The sequence below is a fragment of the Homo sapiens genome, chromosome 3, assembly GCF_000001405.40.
Source record: "Homo sapiens chromosome 3, GRCh38.p14 Primary Assembly".
Taxonomy (NCBI): Eukaryota; Metazoa; Chordata; class Mammalia; order Primates; family Hominidae; genus Homo; species Homo sapiens.
In genome coordinates, this window is record NC_000003.12 from 11256182 (window position 1) to 11273763 (window position 17582).

Below are 17582 nucleotides of genomic sequence, written 5' to 3' on the forward strand. Positions count from 1 at the left end.
GTGATGCTTTTGAAGAAGTCAGAGGAGGCCCCATCAGCAATCAGAGGATTGCTCTGATTGGCACCTCAGAGCTGGAGGACATCAAAAAATACCGCTGTAAGAAAGAGACCTGGAAAAGTCTTTAGAGATTGTCTATCCCACCCTACCCATTTGACACATGAGAAGATGGAGGCCAAGAGATCACTGAGAAAATAAATGGTAGAGCTTGGGCAAAATCAGTGCTGCCCAAAATGGTGTTTTTCCAACAAAGACATTTAAAAGGTTCCTTCCACAAGGATCAAACACCTTGGGGTTTTGATTTTTATCTTAAAAAGTTATATAAATTTAGCCTTCTACAGGCCAGGCACGGTGGCTCACACCTATAATCCCAGCACTTTGGGAGGCTGAGGTGGGTGGATCATGAGGTCAGGAGATCAAAAGGATCCTGGCTGATATGGTGAAACCCCATCTCTACTAAAAATACAAAAATTAGCTGGGCGTGGTGGTGGGCGCATGTAATCCCAGCTACTCAGGAGGCTGAGGCAGGAGAATTACTTGAACCTGGGAGGCAGAGGTTGCAGTGAACCGAGATCGCGCCATTGCACTCCAGTCTGGCGACAGAGCGAGACTCCGTCTCTAAATAAATAAATAAATAAATTTAGCCTTCTACTCAAGAACTTATCTGGCTTTGTCTTAATGTAAAAATAATTTCTTTTTGCTAAATTATTGAGAGAAATTTACTATTTATTAGTGTTTATCAGTTTTCTTTAAACTCACCACTTTTTGATGAATATGAAAATCTAAAAACTTGGCCGGGCGCAGTGGCTCACACCTGTAATCTCAGCACTTTGGGAGGCCAAGGTGGGCGGATCATCTGAGGTCAGGAGTTCAAGATCAGCCTGACCAACATGGTGAAACCCCTTCTCTACTAAAAATACAAAAATTAGCTGGGCGTGGTGGTGGGTGCCTGTAATTGTAGCTACTCGGGAGGCTAAGGCATGAGAATCACTTGAACCCAGAAAGCAGAGGTTGCAGTGAGCTGAGATGGTGCCACTGCACTCCAGCCTGGGCGACAGAGTGAGACTCTGTCCTAAAAAAAAAAAAAAAAAAAATGGCTGGGCGTGGTGCCTCATGCCTGTAATCCCAGCACTTTGGGAGTCCAGCGTGGGTGGATCACCTGAGGTCAGGAGTTCAAGTCCAGCCTGACCAACATGGTGAAACCCCGTCTCTACTAAAAAAATACAAAAAAAATAGCCGGGTGTGGTGGCACACTCCTGTAATCCCAGCTACTCAGGAGGCTGAGGCAGGAGAATCACTTGAATTTGGGAGCTGGAGATTGTAGTGAGCCAAGATGGTGCCATTGCACTCCAGTCTGGGTGACAGAGTGAGACTCCATCTCAAAAAAAAAAAAAAAATCTTAAAAACTCCTTCCAGAAGATTTAATACTTACTTTCACCCAACCACCCGACTTGAGTATCACCAATAACAGAGGATACAGTCCGTTTTCAGTAGAGCCTTAGTAGCAAAGGGTTTTCATTTTTATTTTTCAGATACAGGATCTTGCCCTGTCACCCAAGCTGGAGTGCAGTGATGTGATCATAGCTGACTGCAGCCTCCTGAGTAGCTAGGACTATAGGTGTATTATAGGACAATTTTTAAAAAATTTCATTGTAAAGACAGGATTCCACTGTGTTGCCCAGGCTGCAAGTCTTGGCCTCAAGTGATCATTCCACCTTTAACTCTTGCCCTCAAGCAATCCTCCCACCTCAGACTCCCAAAATGCTGGGATTATGGGTGTGAGCCACCATTTCCAGCCTACTAGCAAGGGTCTTGTTACATATTACTTGGCATGATTTATGTAATTTAAAAAAATTGTTTGTTTTTCAAATAGAAAAGTAAAATAACGAATATGCTTTTCCAATAACATAATCCCCTTCTCACTTGAGAATTTTCCTCTAAAAAGATATGCTAGATTTATTTCATGCTTTATGTGCCTCTGGTGTGTCCCCTTATAACCTCCTCCATATCATTTAGGGATGGTCTCAGCTGCAAGTAAGAACTGCCACAACAGTGATGTAAGCCAAAAAAAAAAAAAAAAAAAAAAGCAAAGCCAAGCAAAACAAAGCCCATTTAATTATTTCCCATAATAATAAGTCTGGGAGAAGAAGATTCCAGAGTTGGCTCAGCAGCTTAGTGACAGCAAGGCCCTAGGCTGGCATTTTCTTGGCCTTCCCGATGGTCCCAAGATGACTCTCATGGCCTCAAACATCACTTCCTCACATCCTGTCAGGGAGAAAGAGGCAAGTGAGCAACAACAATTTTTGTTGTTTTGATCATTTGTCAGAGAGGAAGAACGTTCCTAAAAACTCCGCCTCTGCTGTTTGACATCCTCATCCTATTCCTTGGCCATGGTGGTATCTCATGGTCACTCCTCTATCTGCCACTGTAAAGAGGAACTGGATTGCTATATTCTGCTTAGACACATGAGGATGCAGCCCACCTTCCCAGAACATGTGCGGAATTAGATTTCTACAAACACATTTGTCTTGCTTCTGCCCAACTCTCTCACTAGAATGCACATTCCATAGGGGCAAACATTTTTGTCTATTTTGTTCACAGCTATATTCTCAACACCTAGAAGAGTGACAGAAATTCAATAAATAGTTGTTAAGTGAGCAAATGAATGCATGAATAAGGAAAAGGGTACATGGCTATTGAGTAGGTAACCAGCAGTGTTGATCACCCCCAACAGCATACAACTCCAGTCTGATGAACATCATGCTACTAAGTGGCCACTCATCACCCAAGTCTCTGACCTTACTTTTTCTCTCTTTTCTCCCAGGGAGTGAGCCATAACTGGTGGCTGCTCTTGCGCCAATGAGCCTCCCCAATTCCTCCTGCCTCTTAGAAGACAAGATGTGTGAGGGCAACAAGACCACTATGGCCAGCCCCCAGCTGATGCCCCTGGTGGTGGTCCTGAGCACTATCTGCTTGGTCACAGTAGGGCTCAACCTGCTGGTGCTGTATGCCGTACGGAGTGAGCGGAAGCTCCACACTGTGGGGAACCTGTACATCGTCAGCCTCTCGGTGGCGGACTTGATCGTGGGTGCCGTCGTCATGCCTATGAACATCCTCTACCTGCTCATGTCCAAGTGGTCACTGGGCCGTCCTCTCTGCCTCTTTTGGCTTTCCATGGACTATGTGGCCAGCACAGCGTCCATTTTCAGTGTCTTCATCCTGTGCATTGATCGCTACCGCTCTGTCCAGCAGCCCCTCAGGTACCTTAAGTATCGTACCAAGACCCGAGCCTCGGCCACCATTCTGGGGGCCTGGTTTCTCTCTTTTCTGTGGGTTATTCCCATTCTAGGCTGGAATCACTTCATGCAGCAGACCTCGGTGCGCCGAGAGGACAAGTGTGAGACAGACTTCTATGATGTCACCTGGTTCAAGGTCATGACTGCCATCATCAACTTCTACCTGCCCACCTTGCTCATGCTCTGGTTCTATGCCAAGATCTACAAGGCCGTACGACAACACTGCCAGCACCGGGAGCTCATCAATAGGTCCCTCCCTTCCTTCTCAGAAATTAAGCTGAGGCCAGAGAACCCCAAGGGGGATGCCAAGAAACCAGGGAAGGAGTCTCCCTGGGAGGTTCTGAAAAGGAAGCCAAAAGATGCTGGTGGTGGATCTGTCTTGAAGTCACCATCCCAAACCCCCAAGGAGATGAAATCCCCAGTTGTCTTCAGCCAAGAGGATGATAGAGAAGTAGACAAACTCTACTGCTTTCCACTTGATATTGTGCACATGCAGGCTGCGGCAGAGGGGAGTAGCAGGGACTATGTAGCCGTCAACCGGAGCCATGGCCAGCTCAAGACAGATGAGCAGGGCCTGAACACACATGGGGCCAGCGAGATATCAGAGGATCAGATGTTAGGTGATAGCCAATCCTTCTCTCGAACGGACTCAGATACCACCACAGAGACAGCACCAGGCAAAGGCAAATTGAGGAGTGGGTCTAACACAGGCCTGGATTACATCAAGTTTACTTGGAAGAGGCTCCGCTCGCATTCAAGACAGTATGTATCTGGGTTGCACATGAACCGCGAAAGGAAGGCCGCCAAACAGTTGGGTTTTATCATGGCAGCCTTCATCCTCTGCTGGATCCCTTATTTCATCTTCTTCATGGTCATTGCCTTCTGCAAGAACTGTTGCAATGAACATTTGCACATGTTCACCATCTGGCTGGGCTACATCAACTCCACACTGAACCCCCTCATCTACCCCTTGTGCAATGAGAACTTCAAGAAGACATTCAAGAGAATTCTGCATATTCGCTCCTAAGGGAGGCTCTGAGGGGATGCAACAAAATGATCCTTATGATGTCCAACAAGGAAATAGAGGACGAAGGCCTGTGTGTTGCCAGGCAGGCACCTGGGCTTTCTGGAATCCAAACCACAGTCTTAGGGGCTTGGTAGTTTGGAAAGTTCTTAGGCACCATAGAAGAACAGCAGATGGCGGTGATCAGCAGAGAGATTGAACTTTGAGGAGGAAGCAGAATCTTTGCAAGAAAGTCAGACCTGTTTCTTGTAACTGGGTTCAAAAAGAAAAAAATAATAAAAATAAAAGAGAGAGAGAATCAGACCTGGGTGGAACTCTCCTGCTCCTCAGGAACTATGGGAGCCTCAGACTCATTGTAATTCAAGCTTTCCGAGTCAAGTGATTGACAACTGAAGAGACACGTGGCTAGGGTTCCACTGGAGAATTGAAAAGGACTCTTGAGCCCTCCTGGAATGGAGCTGTATAACTGTGCAGAGACTTTATCCATGCCAATAGTTGCTGTCCCCTTCCAGGGGTCACCTTGAGAGGCATGACAGCTGTTCCACAGGGGCTATCCCTTCTCAGAAAACTTCTCTTCTGAGCCTCTTTAACAGCTTTCTCCAGAACCAGTGTCTGAACCACCCTGGAAATTCTGCCTTATTATTTCTTACTCAAACATGTTTAGAGTGGATAGAAAATTATGCAGCTTGCACACCCATCGTCTTTAACCCCAAATTTCCTTTGGCTATTAAAAAAGTGGTGGCAAAAGACATCCTCAAAAGAAAGAGAAATGAAATATTTTTGAATGGTTGCACGTTAAAAATTAAAAGAAGGAATGGGGGCAGAATGCCATATTTTTGAGGGCTGTACTAGGTTTATCTCATTTAAGCCCCACAACACCCCACAGGAGGGTAATTTTCTAACTCTAGTTTGCAGAGGAGCAAATTGAGGTTCAGCAAGGTGAGAGAGGTACCCAAGGTCACATAGCTAGTTATGTGAGAAAGTTAGAGTACAGATCCTCTGGGGTTTCAGCTTATTGTAGCATATTTTCTCCGAAAGGCAAAAATGTGCCCTTTTGGCCGGGCATGGTAGCTCAAGCCTATAATCCCAGCATGTTGAGAGGCTGAGGTGGGCAGATCATTTGAGGCCAGGAGTTCAAGACCAGTCTGGCCAATATGGAGAAACCTTGTCTCTACTAAAAACACAAAAATTATCTGGGCATGGTGGGGCATGCCTGTAGTCCCACTTACTTGGGAGGCCGAGGCACGAGAATTGCTTGAACCCGGGAGGTGGAGGTTGCCGTGAGCCAAGATCACGCCACTGCACTCCAGCCTGGGCAACAGAGCAAGACTCTGTCTCAAAAAAAAAAATACAATATTTTAACAATGTGCCCTCTTAAGTGTGCACAGATACACATACACGGTATTCCCAAGAGTGGTGGCAGCTCAAAATGATATGTTTGAGTAGACGAACAGCTGACATGGAGTTCCCGTGCACCTACGGAAGGGGACGCTTTGAAGGAACCAAGTGCATTTTTATCTGTGAGTTCTGTTGTGTTTGTCAAAAAGTCATTGTAATCTTTCATAGCCATACCTGGTAAGCAAAAACTAGTAAAGACATAGGAACATGTAGTTTTACTTGGTGTTTATGTTGCAATCTGGTTGTGATTTATATTTTAAAGCTTGGTGCTAAACCACAATATGTATAGCATATGGAGTGCCTGTACAAGCTGATGTTTTGTATTTTGTGTTCCTCTTTGCATGATCTGTCAAAGTGAGATATTTTTACCTGCCTAAAATATGATGTTTAAAAGCATACTCTATGTGATTTATTTATTTCTACCTTTCTGAGTCTCTTGGACTAAGAAGATGTTTTGAAATGTACCATCAAATGTTAACAGAGTTTGATATGGGCTTTCTCTTTGGTTTCTCATCACATTTGTAAATGTCTTTTCAAAAGGATTTACTTTTTGTAAAAAGCTTCATTCTCACTCTGCTTTGCATCCCCCAAACTTCTTGTTCAAAACGGGGGGAGTTTAGGAGACTTTAATCCCGGTTTCAGAAGCTGCAGCTGGTCTGTTTCCAGGTCAGAAACCATTGTTCAGAAGACCTCCCTGTGAGAGAGTTGCTCCTCAGGGTCCCTCAGGACCAAAGAACACTCGAAAAGAGCACTTCACACAGACAAGTGGCTAAGTGTCCATTATTTACCTTGAACAATCAAGGCAACTAGTGGAGAGAACTGATTGTGAGCTCTGCCTCTGGGTCAGAGAGACCTGGATTTGAGTCTGACAAGAACAAGAAATGGTCAATAAATATAAATTACCAGCGTCTAAGGAACAAGGTCTATGCATTATTGTATACAGTGTCTCTAGTGCTTGTATAGTGTCTGGTATACAGAGGGCACTCCTATGCATTTTTAAAACATGCTGAGCACATACCATGTGCCAGGCTTTGTGTTTTATCTAATGTTATCTAATGGTATTGGTGCCATTATGTAATGTTGCCTTTACAACAACCTCATGAGGGAGATTTCCATCTTTACAAATAGGCAAACTGAGGCCCAGAGAGATTGAGGAACTGCTCCGAGGTCTGATTCTGGAATGTGCTTCCTTTCCACTTTATCAATCTGCTCTTCGTACTCCTGTCTGAACGATGGAAATTAATTTTTGAATGTATAAAAGACAACAGACTATGATACAGAAATGTCAGCCCCAGCCCACTAAGAAAGCCCCAGCCCATCAGTGGCTAATGGCTTTAATAAATTGGTCATTTGGCTACTTGGCTTGTGGACAATCTCTGACCTCTTTTGAAGATGGGCACTGCATGGACTTCCAGGAGGTGGATTTAATAGTCTTAACTCAGCATGAAAAAGATGCTGGGATGCTCCTGGCTATTTATGCACCCTAAGTGCCATAGAGACATGCTGTTGGCAAGGCATGGTGGCTCATGCCTGTAATCCCAGCACACTGGGAGGCTGACGCGGGCAGATGGCTGGAGTCCAGGAGTTCGAGACAAGCCTGGGCACCATGGTGAAATCCTGTCTCTACTAAAAATAAAAAATTAGCCAGGGGCTGTGACGCACACCTGCAGTCCCAACTACTTGGGGGGCTGAGGCAGGAGGATCACTTGAGCCCAGAAAGTTGAGGCTGCAGTGAACCAAGATTGGGCCACTGCACTCCAGCCTGGGTGACAGAGAGAGACTCTGTCTTAAAATGAAATGAAATGAAATGAAATATAAAATAAAATAAAATATAGAAACATGCTGTTAAAGATCTTATTTGCCAATATTTATCATTCCACAATTTGTCAGGCTTTCAAAGCCTAGCTTGACGTGACATATAATTCTCATTGTGGGGAGCATGTACTCTTCTCAACTCAGATGCAAGACAAATGATGAAGGTGGATTGACCTGAATCACTGTAGCCTTGAATAAGTGTCACAGGGCCTCATGACCCTGCTGTGTCTGAGAACATTCTCTGCCTCTTTAAGTCTCCTGGGTCTGCATCTTTCTTAATGCTCCATGGTCTTGGAGCCCCAATGGTCTGCCTATCCCATTCCAGGCAGCAGAGGCAGGTCTTCTTCCTTAGCCTCACCCTATCTTCCTGCTAACAAGGAAGCCTCATTTGTCGTCTGAGCAATCATTAGCTCTGGTCCCCATATCTATTTTGGATTCCCAGACCTTATCTGTTAATTAACAAATATTTTTCCAGCACTTCTTATGTCTGGCCTGAGCCAGAAAGACATGATTTCAACCCTGTGGAGCTACTTCAGGTTTGCAAGTGACAGAAATCAACTTTGTGAATAGTTACTAGAGTATCTTAAGTCTGTTTTGTGCTCCTATAACAGAATATCACAGACTGGGTAATTTATAATGAATAGAAATTTATTGGCTCACAGTTCTGGAGGCTGGTAAGTCTAATATCAATGTGCTGGCATCTGGTGAGGACCTTCCTGATGCATCATGACATGATGGAAGAGCAAAGAGAGGGCAAGAGAGAGCAAAAGGGAGCAATCCCACTCCTGTAATAAAGAACTCACTCCCATGATAACAGCATTAGTGCATTCATGAGAGTGGAAACCCATGACCTAAACACTTCTTAAAGATCCCACTTCCCAATATGATCACAATGGCAATTAAATTTTAACATGAGTTTTGGAGAGGACAAATGTTCAAGCCACATAGCATGGCATGCTTTGTGGAATCTAGTGATACTTTGGATGACTTTGCCTTGAGGAGGGCTTGAGACAAGTCAGCCATAGGAATCTCAAGCTAAGAATTCAAGGAAACTCCCTCTCTAGGATACTGCCAATGATCTACATAAACTAATCCTATTCCCACTCTATGAACATCAGTTCAAAAGTCCCAAACTCAGGATAAAGAATCGTCCTGTGTCCACTTTACTCCAGTCAACTCTGGAGGGGGTGGAGGCTGGGGTGGCACAGGTGGTACAAACATAGCTGGAGAATCAGCAGTTCCCAGAGAAGCAAGGATTACTGTGAGTTCGGCAGAAGCTTTAAAAGGTGTTCATTATAAAATCACAAAACCCAGCAGTAGAGTCAAACTTATAAAGAACTAACTTTAACTTAGGCTCATATATGCTCAATAGAGTAAAGCCTAGAGGTGGTGGGTATAAGGCATGCCTTCATATAAGAGGTGACATCCCTACTGTTTGTTTTTAAAATCAGCCAGGTGCAGTGGCTCATGCTTGTAATCCCAGCACTTTGGGAGGCCGAAGAGGGGCAGATTACCTGAGGTCAGGAGTTTGAGACCAGCCTGGCCAACATGGTGAAACCCCATCTCTACTAAAAACACGAAAATTAGCCGGGTGTAGTGGCACATGCCTGTAATCCCGGCTACTTGGGAGGCTGAGGCAGGAGAATTGGTTGAGCCTGGGAGATGGAGGTTGCAGTGAGCCGAGATTGTGCCACTACACTCCAGCCTGGCCAACAGAGTGAGACTCTGTCTCAAATAAATAAATAAAAAATAAAATAAAATCAAGTTTGTTACACACAATACATACAATAAAATGCACCCATGTTAAAAGCAGAGTTTGATGAGTTTTGATGAATGTGTATACCTGTGTCAGCCCTACCTCATTTAAGCTGTAGAACATTTCTATCACCCCAGAAAGCTCCTCATGCCCATTTGTTGACCATGCCCCACTCTGCTCCTAGGAATGACTGATCTACTGATCTGACTTCTATCACTGTGTCAGAGGCATTTGAACCAGAGCAACTCCATGTCAAGTAGTGGCTGAGTAAAGTAAGGTTGAGACCTACTGGGCTGCACTCCCAGGAGGTCAGGCATTGTTGTTCACAGGATGAGGTAGGAGGTCGGCACAAGATAGAGGTTACACAGACCCTGCTGATAAAACAGGATGCAGTAAAGAAGCTGGCCAAAACCAAGGAGTGATGAAAGTGACTTCTTGGCTGGGCATGGTGGCTCACGCATGTAATCCCAGTACTTTGGGATGCAGAGGTGGGAGGGTCCCGTAAGCCCAGGAGTTTGAGAAAGCCTGGGCAATGTAGAGAGACCCTGTCTCAATTATTTTTTAAATAAATTAAAAAAAAAAAAACCTGACCTCTGGTCATCCTCACTGCTGATTATACGTTAATTATAATACATTGGCATACTAAAGAAAACTCCCACTAGTGCCATGACAGTTTACAAATGCCATAGCAACTTTGGGGAGTTACCCTATATAGTCTAAAAAGGGGGCCGAGCATGGTGGCTCACGCCTGTAATCCTAGCACTTTGAGAGGCTGAGGCAGGTGGATCACCTGAGGTCAGGAGTTCAAAACCAGCCTGGCCAACATGGCGAAACCCTATCTCTACTAAAAATACAAACATTAGCTGGGTGTGGTGGCGCATGCCTGTAATCCCAGCTACTTGGAAGGCTAAGGAAGGAGGATCGCTTCAGCTCCAGAGGTGGAGGTTGCAGTGAGCCGAGATCACGTCGCTGCACTCCAGCCTGCGCGACAGGAGCAAGACTCCATCTCAAAAAAAAAAAAAAAAAAAAAGTGGGGAGGAACCCTCAGTTCCACGAAATATCCACCCTTTTTTAGCATACAATCAAGAAATAACTGGCCAGGTAGGGTGGCTCACACCTGTAACCCCAGCATTTTGGGAGGTGGAGGCAGGCAGATCACTTGAGGCCAGGAGTTCAAGACCAGCCTGGGCAACATGGAGAAAACCCATCTGTACTAAAAATACAAAAATTAACCAGTTGTGGTGGTGTGCATCTGTAATTCCAGGTACCAGGATGGTTGAGGCATGAGAATCGCTTGAACTCAGGAGGCAGAGGTTGCAGTGAGCCAAGATCACACCACTGCACTCCAGCCTCGGTGACAGAGTGAGACTCTGTCTCAAAAAAAAAAAAAAAAAAACAAGTATAGGTATATTCAGTCAAATAGCCCATAACATTGCTCTGCCTATGTAGTAGTTATTATTTTTTATTCCTTTTTTTTTTTGAGACGGCGTCTTGTTCTGTCACCCAGGCTGAAGTGCAGTGGTGCAATCTTGGCTCACTGCAACCTCTGCCTCCTGGGTTCAAGCAATTCTCCTGCCTCAGCCTCCCGAGTAGCTGAGACTACAGGTGTAAGCCACCATGCCCGGTTAATTTTTTATGTTTTTGTATAGACGGGGTCTCACCATGTTGGCCAGGCTGATCCTGAACTCCTGATCTCAGGTGGCCTGCCCGCCTTGGCCTCTCAAAGTGCTGGGATTACAGGCGTGAGCCACTGCACCCAGCCCTATTCCTTTTCTTTCTTAATAAACTTGCTCTCATTTTACTCTACGGACTTGCCCAGAATTCTTTCTTGTGAGAGATCCAAGAACCCTCTCTTGGGTCTGGATCGGGACCTCTTTCCGGTAACAACTATAGCGATTAGTTTTGCTGATTTTAGAACTTTCTATCAGTAGAATTATTTAATATGTACTCCTTTTTTCCATCAACATTTTGTCTAAGATTCCCCCACACTTCAAATGGGTTGTGAAGACTGAGAAAGGCTTACACAAGCACAGCAAGTGTGAGAGCATTGCAGGGATGGAGATATAAAAGAGCAGTGTGTGCTTGACCAGAATTAGTTTAGTGTGACTCAAGCATGCAGTTTGAGAGGGCAACGGCAGGAGAGGAACCTGATATAGTCAAGAGTTGGCAGTGTTGAATTTTACTTGGACTTTTTGCTCTTGGAAAACAGTAATGTTACTGGAAAGGGGTCCTGGCTGGGTGCAGTGGCTCACATCTGTAATCCCAGCACTTTGGGAGGCTGAGATGGGCAGATCACTTGAGGTCAGGAGTTCGAGACTAGCCTGGCCAACACAGTGAAAACCCGTCTCTACTAAAAATACAAAAATTAGCTGGGTGTGGTGGCGCATGCCTGTAATCCCAGCTACTTGGCAGGCTCAGGCACGAGAATCACTTGAACCCAGGAGATGGAGGTTGCAGTAAGCCGAGATCGCGCTACTGCACTCCAGCCTGGGTGACAGAGTGAGACTCTGTCTCTCTCTCTCTCTCTCTCTCTCTCTCTCACACACACACACACACACACACACACACACACAAAAGAAAAAAAAAAGAAAAGAAAAGGGGTCCTGATCCAGACCCCAAGAGAGACTTCTTGGACCTCACACAAGAAAGAATTCTGGGACAGTCCATAAAGAGAAAGAAGGTTTATTAAGAAAGCAAAGGAGGCTGGGTGTGGTGGCTCACGCCTGGAACCCCAGCACTTTGGGAGGCCGAGGCGGGCGGGCCACCAGATGTCAGGAGTTCAAGATCAGCCTGGCCAACATAGTGAAACCCTGTCTCTACTAAAATATAAAAAAGTAACTGGGCTTGGTGGCTTGTGCCTGTAGTCCCAGCTACTCGGGAGGCTGAGGCAGGGGAATCGCTTGAACCCAAGAGGCGGAGGTTGCAGTGAGCCGAGATCACGCCACTGCACTCCAGCCCAGTGACAGAGCAAGACTCTGTCTTGGAAAAAAAAAAAAAAAAGAAAGAAACCCCATTTGTATTAAAAAAAAAATACAAAAATTAGCCAGGCATGGTGGTGTGTTCTTGTAATCCCAGCTTCTAGGGAGGCTGAGGCAGGAGAATTGCTCACCATATTCTAGGAAGGCTGAGGCAGGAGAATTGCTTGAAACCAGGAGGCAGAGGTTGCAGTGAGCAGAGATGCGCCATTGCATTCCAGCCTGGGCAACAGAGTGAGACTCCATCTCAAAAAAAAAAAAAAAGAAAAAAGAAAAAAAGGGAGTAAAAGAATGGCTACTCCATAGGCAGTGTGTGGTGGCATGGGCTGCTCAATTGATTATGCTAATAGTTACTTCTTGATTATATGCTAAACAAGGGGTGGATTATTCATGAGTTTTCTGGGAAAGGGGTGGGCAATTCCTGGGACTGAGGGTTCCTCCCCTTTTCAGACTGCATAAGGCAACTTTCTGACATTGCCTTGGCATCTGTAAAAGGTCATGGCAATGGTGGGAGTGTCTTTTAGCATGCTAATGCATTATAATTAGCGTATAATAAGCAATGAGGATGACCAGAGGTCACTCTCGTCACCATTTTGGTTTTGGTGGGTTTTGGCACGTTTCTTTAGCACAACCTTTATCAGCAAGGTCTTTGTGACCTCTGTCATACCCTGATCTCCAGTTTTATCCTGTGAGTAAGAATGCCCAACCTCCTGGGAATGCAGCCCAATAGGTCTCAGCCTTACTTTACTCAGCCCCTATTCAAGATGGAGTCATTCTGGTTCAAATGCCTCTGACAGTAAAGGTTAAGAAATCCTTCTTGGCCAGGTGCAGTGGCTCACGCCTGTAATCGCAGCGCTTTGGGAAGCCGAGGTGAGCAGATCACCTGAGGTCAGGAGTTTGAGATCAGGCGGGCTAACATGGTAAAACTCCGTTTCTACTAAAAATACAAAAAATTAGCCGGGTGTGGTGGCATGCACCTGTAATCCCAGCTACTTGGGAGGCTGAGGCAGAAGAATCGCTTGAACCCGGGCGGTGGAGGTTGCAGTGAGCCAAGATTGCGCCATTGCACTCCAGCTTGGGCAACAAGAGTGAAACTCCATCTCAAAAAAATAAATAAATAAAAAAAAAAGGCTGGGCGTGGTGGCTCACACCTGTAATCTCAGCACTTTGGGAGGCTGAGGCGGGTGGATCATGAGGTCAGGAGATCGAGTCCATCCTGGCTAACATGGTGAAACCCTGTCTCTACTAAAAATACAAAAAATTAGCCGGGCGAGGTGGTGGGCGCCTATAGTCCCAGCTACTTGGGAGGCTGAGGCAGGAGAATGTCATGGACCTGGGAGGCGGAGCTTGCAGTGAGCCAAGATTGTGCCACTGCACTCCAGCCTGGGTGACAGAGCGAGACTCCGTCTCAAAAAAAAAAAAAAAAAGGAAAAAGAAATCCTTGCTGGGCAAGGTGGCTCACACTTGTATTCCCAGCACTTTGTGAGGTGAAGGTGGGAGGATCACTTGAGTCCAGTAGTTCAAGACCAGCCCTGGCAACATAGCAAGACCCAGTCTCTACAAAAAATGAGAAAATTAGCCCGGCATGATGGCATGCACCTGTAGTCCCAGCTACTCAGGAGGCTGAGGTGGGAGGATCCCTGGAGCTCAGGAGGTTGAGTCTGCAGTGAGCTATGATCACTCCACTGTACTCTATCCTGGGTAACAGAGGGAGACCCCGTCTCAAAAAAAAAAAAAAAAAAAGATAAAGCAAAAAAGAGAAATCTTTCTTAACCTTTTTGTGCTTCAGAAAATGTTCACTACAAAGAAATACCCATTCTCATGTCACTTAAATGACTCCTGGTTGCCTCCCTTGTTTACTGTGGCAAGGTCAAACACAGTCCTTCTGAATTCCCATTCTTTGCCTCATAAATGATTACAGAGCTGCTTGTCTCCATTGACCAGTTGGAAAAAATGCTTATTAACCAAACTTGGGTTAAGCTTCTTTCCTTTCCCCAGGCTCCTTACTTTAACCTACTCTCAGCTTGAACTAGCATACTGTCTCATGTGTCCGTGTGAAGAGACTACCAAACAGGCTTTGTGTGAGCAACAAGGCTGTTTATTTCACCTGGGTGCAGGTGGGCTGAGTCCAAAAAGAGAGTCAGCAAAGGGTGGTGGGATTATCATTGGTTCTTATAGGTTTTGGGATAGGCGGTGGAGTTAAAAGCAATGTTTTGGGGGTAGGGGGTGGATCTCACAAAGTACATTCTCAAGGGTGGTGAGAATTACAAAGAAACTTCTTAAGGGTGGGGGAGACTATAAAAGAACCTTCTTAAGGGTGGGGGAGATTACAAAGTACATTGATCAGTTAGGGTGGGGCAGAAACAAATCACAATGGTGGAATGTCATCAGTTAAGGCTATTTTCACTTCTGCGGATCTTCAGTTGCTGCAAGCCATCTGGATGTATACGTGCAGGTCACTGGGGATATGATGGCTTAGCTTGGGCTCAGAGACTGACACACACAACCCCTACTGAGAATAGGTTGGCCTCAAGATAAAACATTCTCTAATCTACTATCTGATCAAGCCACCCCTTCATCCCACTTCCCATATTCGGTTGTTTCCAGCCTTGTTTACCTGCCTTTGGGGAGGGTGGGGGGTGGGGGAACCCTCTTTTTCCCTAACCATTGAAACATCTGCGGATGTTTTGGTCAGAGTGATCTCACTATTGCAATAGTCTCCCTCTGCTATTGCACGGTTCCTTCTCTCCCACCTCTCTCACTTCTTGCAGTAATCCTTTCTTTTTTTTTTTTTTTGAGACGGAGTCTCGCTCTGTCGCCCAGGCTGGAGTGCAGTGGTGGGATCTCGGCTCACTGCAAGCTCCGCCTCCCGGGTTCACGCCATTCTCCTGCCTCAGCCTCCCAAGTAGCTGGGACTACAGGCGCCCGCCACCACGCCCGGCTAATTTTTTTGTATTTTTAGTAGAGACGGGGTTTCACCGTTTTAGCCGGGATGGTCTCGATCTCCTGACCTCGTGATCCGCCCGCCTCGGCCTCCCAAAGTGCTGTGATTACAGGCGTGAGCCACCGCGCCGGGCCTGCAGTAATCCTTTCTAATAAGTATCCTTATTAGTCTGGATTTGTTTTCTTATTTGCCAGAATCAAACAAACTTCAGATTACGTTCCTGGCCCAAAAGCCCTTTAACTTTCAGCAAGCCACCTAACTTTTCTTAGATTCTGTTCTTTCATATATAACTTGGGGATATGTTTCAGGACTCTTGTGAGGATTAGAGATGTAAAACCCTGAAAACATGGTGGCTAGTTAATTAATAGCAGTCATCGCTCTTGTTGTTATGAGTCTAGAGTGGTATATCAGAGTTAATTTGTGAAAGGCCTTACAGGCCAGACAGAGAAACTTGTCATAATCACTGCTGTATCTTCAACACCTGTCCAGTGCTTTGCACGCGCAGAGTATCTAACCAAGTATTGAGAGGGAATAACTTTATCTCACTGACAGTGAGGAGCTGTGAGAATGATGGCTGGTTTAGAAAAGGCAGGTTGGTCACTGTCGACGTTCACTGGCCTTTTCCTACTAAAATTCTCATCTCCTGGCTCTCCACACCTGCCACCCTGATGGCCCCTGTGCTGCGTTTGATGCCGCCTCTCCTGGAGAATGACCATGGTGATCATTCCTGTCATCCTCTGAAATCAAAAGAGAGAACGTGGGCACTTTCTTAAAAGCCTGAAGGGAATGTAGACATTCCGACATCTGGTAAGGGAGACGCTCTCCATCGCTTCCCCCGGGGGCGTCACCGCCCCCTGATGCCCCGCCCTCCTCACGACTCAAGTTCCTCCCACTTAGCTCGGTGCTAGGGGCGCATTTCCCCGGCATGCCTCTGCTCCTTTGCGCACGCGCGCCGCTTCCCAGTGGCAAGCGCGGGCAGGACCGCGTTGCGTCATCGGGGCGCGCGCCTCAGAGAGAGCTGTGGTTGCCGGAAGTTGAGCGGCGGTAAGTGAGCCGCGGCGGGCGAGGGTGTAGTGGGGTCTTGCTGGGCCGGTTTTGGAGGCCTGGAGTCAAGGGGCGAGCTCGCCAGGGAGGGCGAGGGTCACAGCAAGTCTCAGGATCCTCCTCTGCCAGTTTCTGGGTGGTCCTTCCTCCTCCAGGGACTCACTGATTCCGGCTGGCGCCCTTCGTCTGTAGCCGCGTCCCCTCAGACTGGTTCAGTCCGGGGTCTTCTGACTTGGAAGCTCGTGCTGATTTCCTAAGTCAGCCCCTCCTGTCCTCTTGGTAGGCAGTGCTCAGAATCTTCAGTGTTGGAACACGGGAGATGGGACATTTGGATTCCCAGCCTGGCTGTGTCTGGATTTGCTGTCTCTGGCACGTTCCTTCCCCATCTAAGCTGCTTTTCCATCTGCAAAATGGGAATGATAATCCGCCATTTGTTTAAGTGAGGAGGTTAAATAAGTTTACTTTCTGAGAAAGAAGATTCTCGATTCCTTGGTTACAGGGTTAGAAACTAATGCACAATAAGAATCAATCCGGTAAGGTAAATATAGGTGTTAGAACATTTGTCAGAAATAGAGTCAAACTTCTAATTTTATAAGTACAGTACTAACGTACATGATGTTGGAGAAGTACAAGCCAAACCGTGTGTGTGTGCACGTGCGTGCAGTTTCCTGATTTTTAAACACTGGCGACTGATGCCATTTTTTAAAAATTGGCAAGTAATTCTGGCGTTTAAAAACATTGGCAACTCAGTTTTTACAAAACCCTGTTCAACTGTAACCAGTCATATCTGTGGCTGTCAGTTTGGGACCTCTGGATCCCAGACTCCCTTTTTCATTGACTACTTAGATTTTTTTCTCTGACACCTCTGCCCACTGGCCAGATTTCTTCAGTGACAGAAAGCTTTCTACTTCTGGTTGCTCCTGTTTGGTCCTCCCCCAGTTCTGACTCTTAGGTTGAGCTGAAAGCAGCTACTCGGTAATCTTAGCTCACTGTTCCTCCTTCAGGCTCTTGGAATCACCCCTGCATTTAATTGCCCTATACATCATTGAAAGCTGCTAGTTTGTCTTCCTCTTCTCACCTTTTCTTCTCTAGGCTAAGCATATTTAATGTATTTGCTCATAGTAAACTTAACAGTGACAGCAAATTTTGTCATGTTTTGTTATATCCCCAGCATATAGAGCAATGCCTAGCATATTATATATGCTCAATAAATATTTGTTGGATGAATGAATAAAACAAATATTTGCCTGTTATGTGCCTGGCATTATTGTGGGCACTGGTGATCTATCAGTAAAATAAGAAGAAAAAGAACCCTGTTTCATGGCACCTTCTA

General features: G+C 45.9%; 2 protein-coding genes across 34 annotated transcripts in view, besides 7 other annotated features; both read left to right on the forward strand.

Annotated features, from left to right (window-relative positions):
* HRH1 (histamine receptor H1) overlaps positions 1-7376 on the forward strand; it is a 126320-nt gene extending 118944 nt beyond the window's left edge. For 3 of the 4 annotated variants that reach the window (NM_001098213.2, NM_001098212.2, NM_001098211.2), the window contains exon 2: positions 2822-7376. In NM_001098213.2, the coding sequence (NP_001091683.1) occupies positions 2857-4320 (1464 nt within the window). In that variant the 5' untranslated portion in view covers positions 2822-2856 and the 3' untranslated portion in view covers positions 4321-7376. The remainder of the gene's footprint in view (positions 1-2821) is intronic. The other variant, NM_000861.3, reaches the window with a different exon arrangement.
* Positions 1985-2328: a transcriptional cis regulatory region, noted in NCBI's record as "silencer region targeted for CRISPR/Cas9 deletion". NCBI's record gives its function as "negatively regulates HRH1 gene expression in K562 erythroleukemia cells {active_cell/tissue: K562}" and the evidence as "EXISTENCE:knockout evidence [ECO:0001091][PMID:32094911]".
* Positions 2058-2259: a silencer, noted in NCBI's record as "fragment chr3:11299925-11300126 (GRCh37/hg19 assembly coordinates)". NCBI's record gives its function as "represses an EF-1alpha promoter that drives an FKBP-Casp9 reporter gene in an ReSE screen, or a PGK promoter in conventional reporter assays, in K562 erythroleukemia cells {active_cell/tissue: K562}" and the evidence as "EXISTENCE:reporter gene assay evidence [ECO:0000049][PMID:32094911]".
* Positions 15814-15863: an enhancer, noted in NCBI's record as "active region_19427". NCBI's record gives its function as "activates an Ori minimal core promoter by ATAC-STARR-seq in GM12878 lymphoblastoid cells {active_cell/tissue: GM12878}" and the evidence as "EXISTENCE:reporter gene assay evidence [ECO:0000049][PMID:35858748]".
* Positions 15814-16411: a biological region, named in NCBI's record as "H3K27ac hESC enhancer GRCh37_chr3:11313687-11314278".
* Positions 15820-16411: an enhancer, noted in NCBI's record as "H3K27ac hESC enhancer chr3:11313687-11314278 (GRCh37/hg19 assembly coordinates)". NCBI's record gives its function as "activates a minimal SCP1, AML or CMV promoter by ChIP-STARR-seq in primed H9 embryonic stem cells {active_cell/tissue: H9 hESC(primed)}" and the evidence as "EXISTENCE:reporter gene assay evidence [ECO:0000049][PMID:30033119]".
* Positions 16134-16263: an enhancer, noted in NCBI's record as "active region_19428". NCBI's record gives its function as "activates an Ori minimal core promoter by ATAC-STARR-seq in GM12878 lymphoblastoid cells {active_cell/tissue: GM12878}" and the evidence as "EXISTENCE:reporter gene assay evidence [ECO:0000049][PMID:35858748]".
* The window catches only part of ATG7 (autophagy related 7), a 303957-nt gene continuing 302590 nt past the window's right edge, over positions 16216-17582 (forward strand). For 29 of the 30 annotated variants that reach the window (XR_007095622.1, XR_007095623.1, NM_001349238.2 and 26 more), the window contains exon 1: positions 16216-16249. The gene's annotated coding sequence lies outside the window, so the exon portion shown is untranslated. Of the gene's footprint in view, positions 16529-17582 lie in introns of all 30 variants that reach the window. The other variant, XM_047447296.1, reaches the window with a different exon arrangement.
* Positions 16412-17001: an enhancer, noted in NCBI's record as "H3K27ac hESC enhancer chr3:11314279-11314868 (GRCh37/hg19 assembly coordinates)". NCBI's record gives its function as "activates a minimal SCP1, AML or CMV promoter by ChIP-STARR-seq in primed H9 embryonic stem cells {active_cell/tissue: H9 hESC(primed)}" and the evidence as "EXISTENCE:reporter gene assay evidence [ECO:0000049][PMID:30033119]".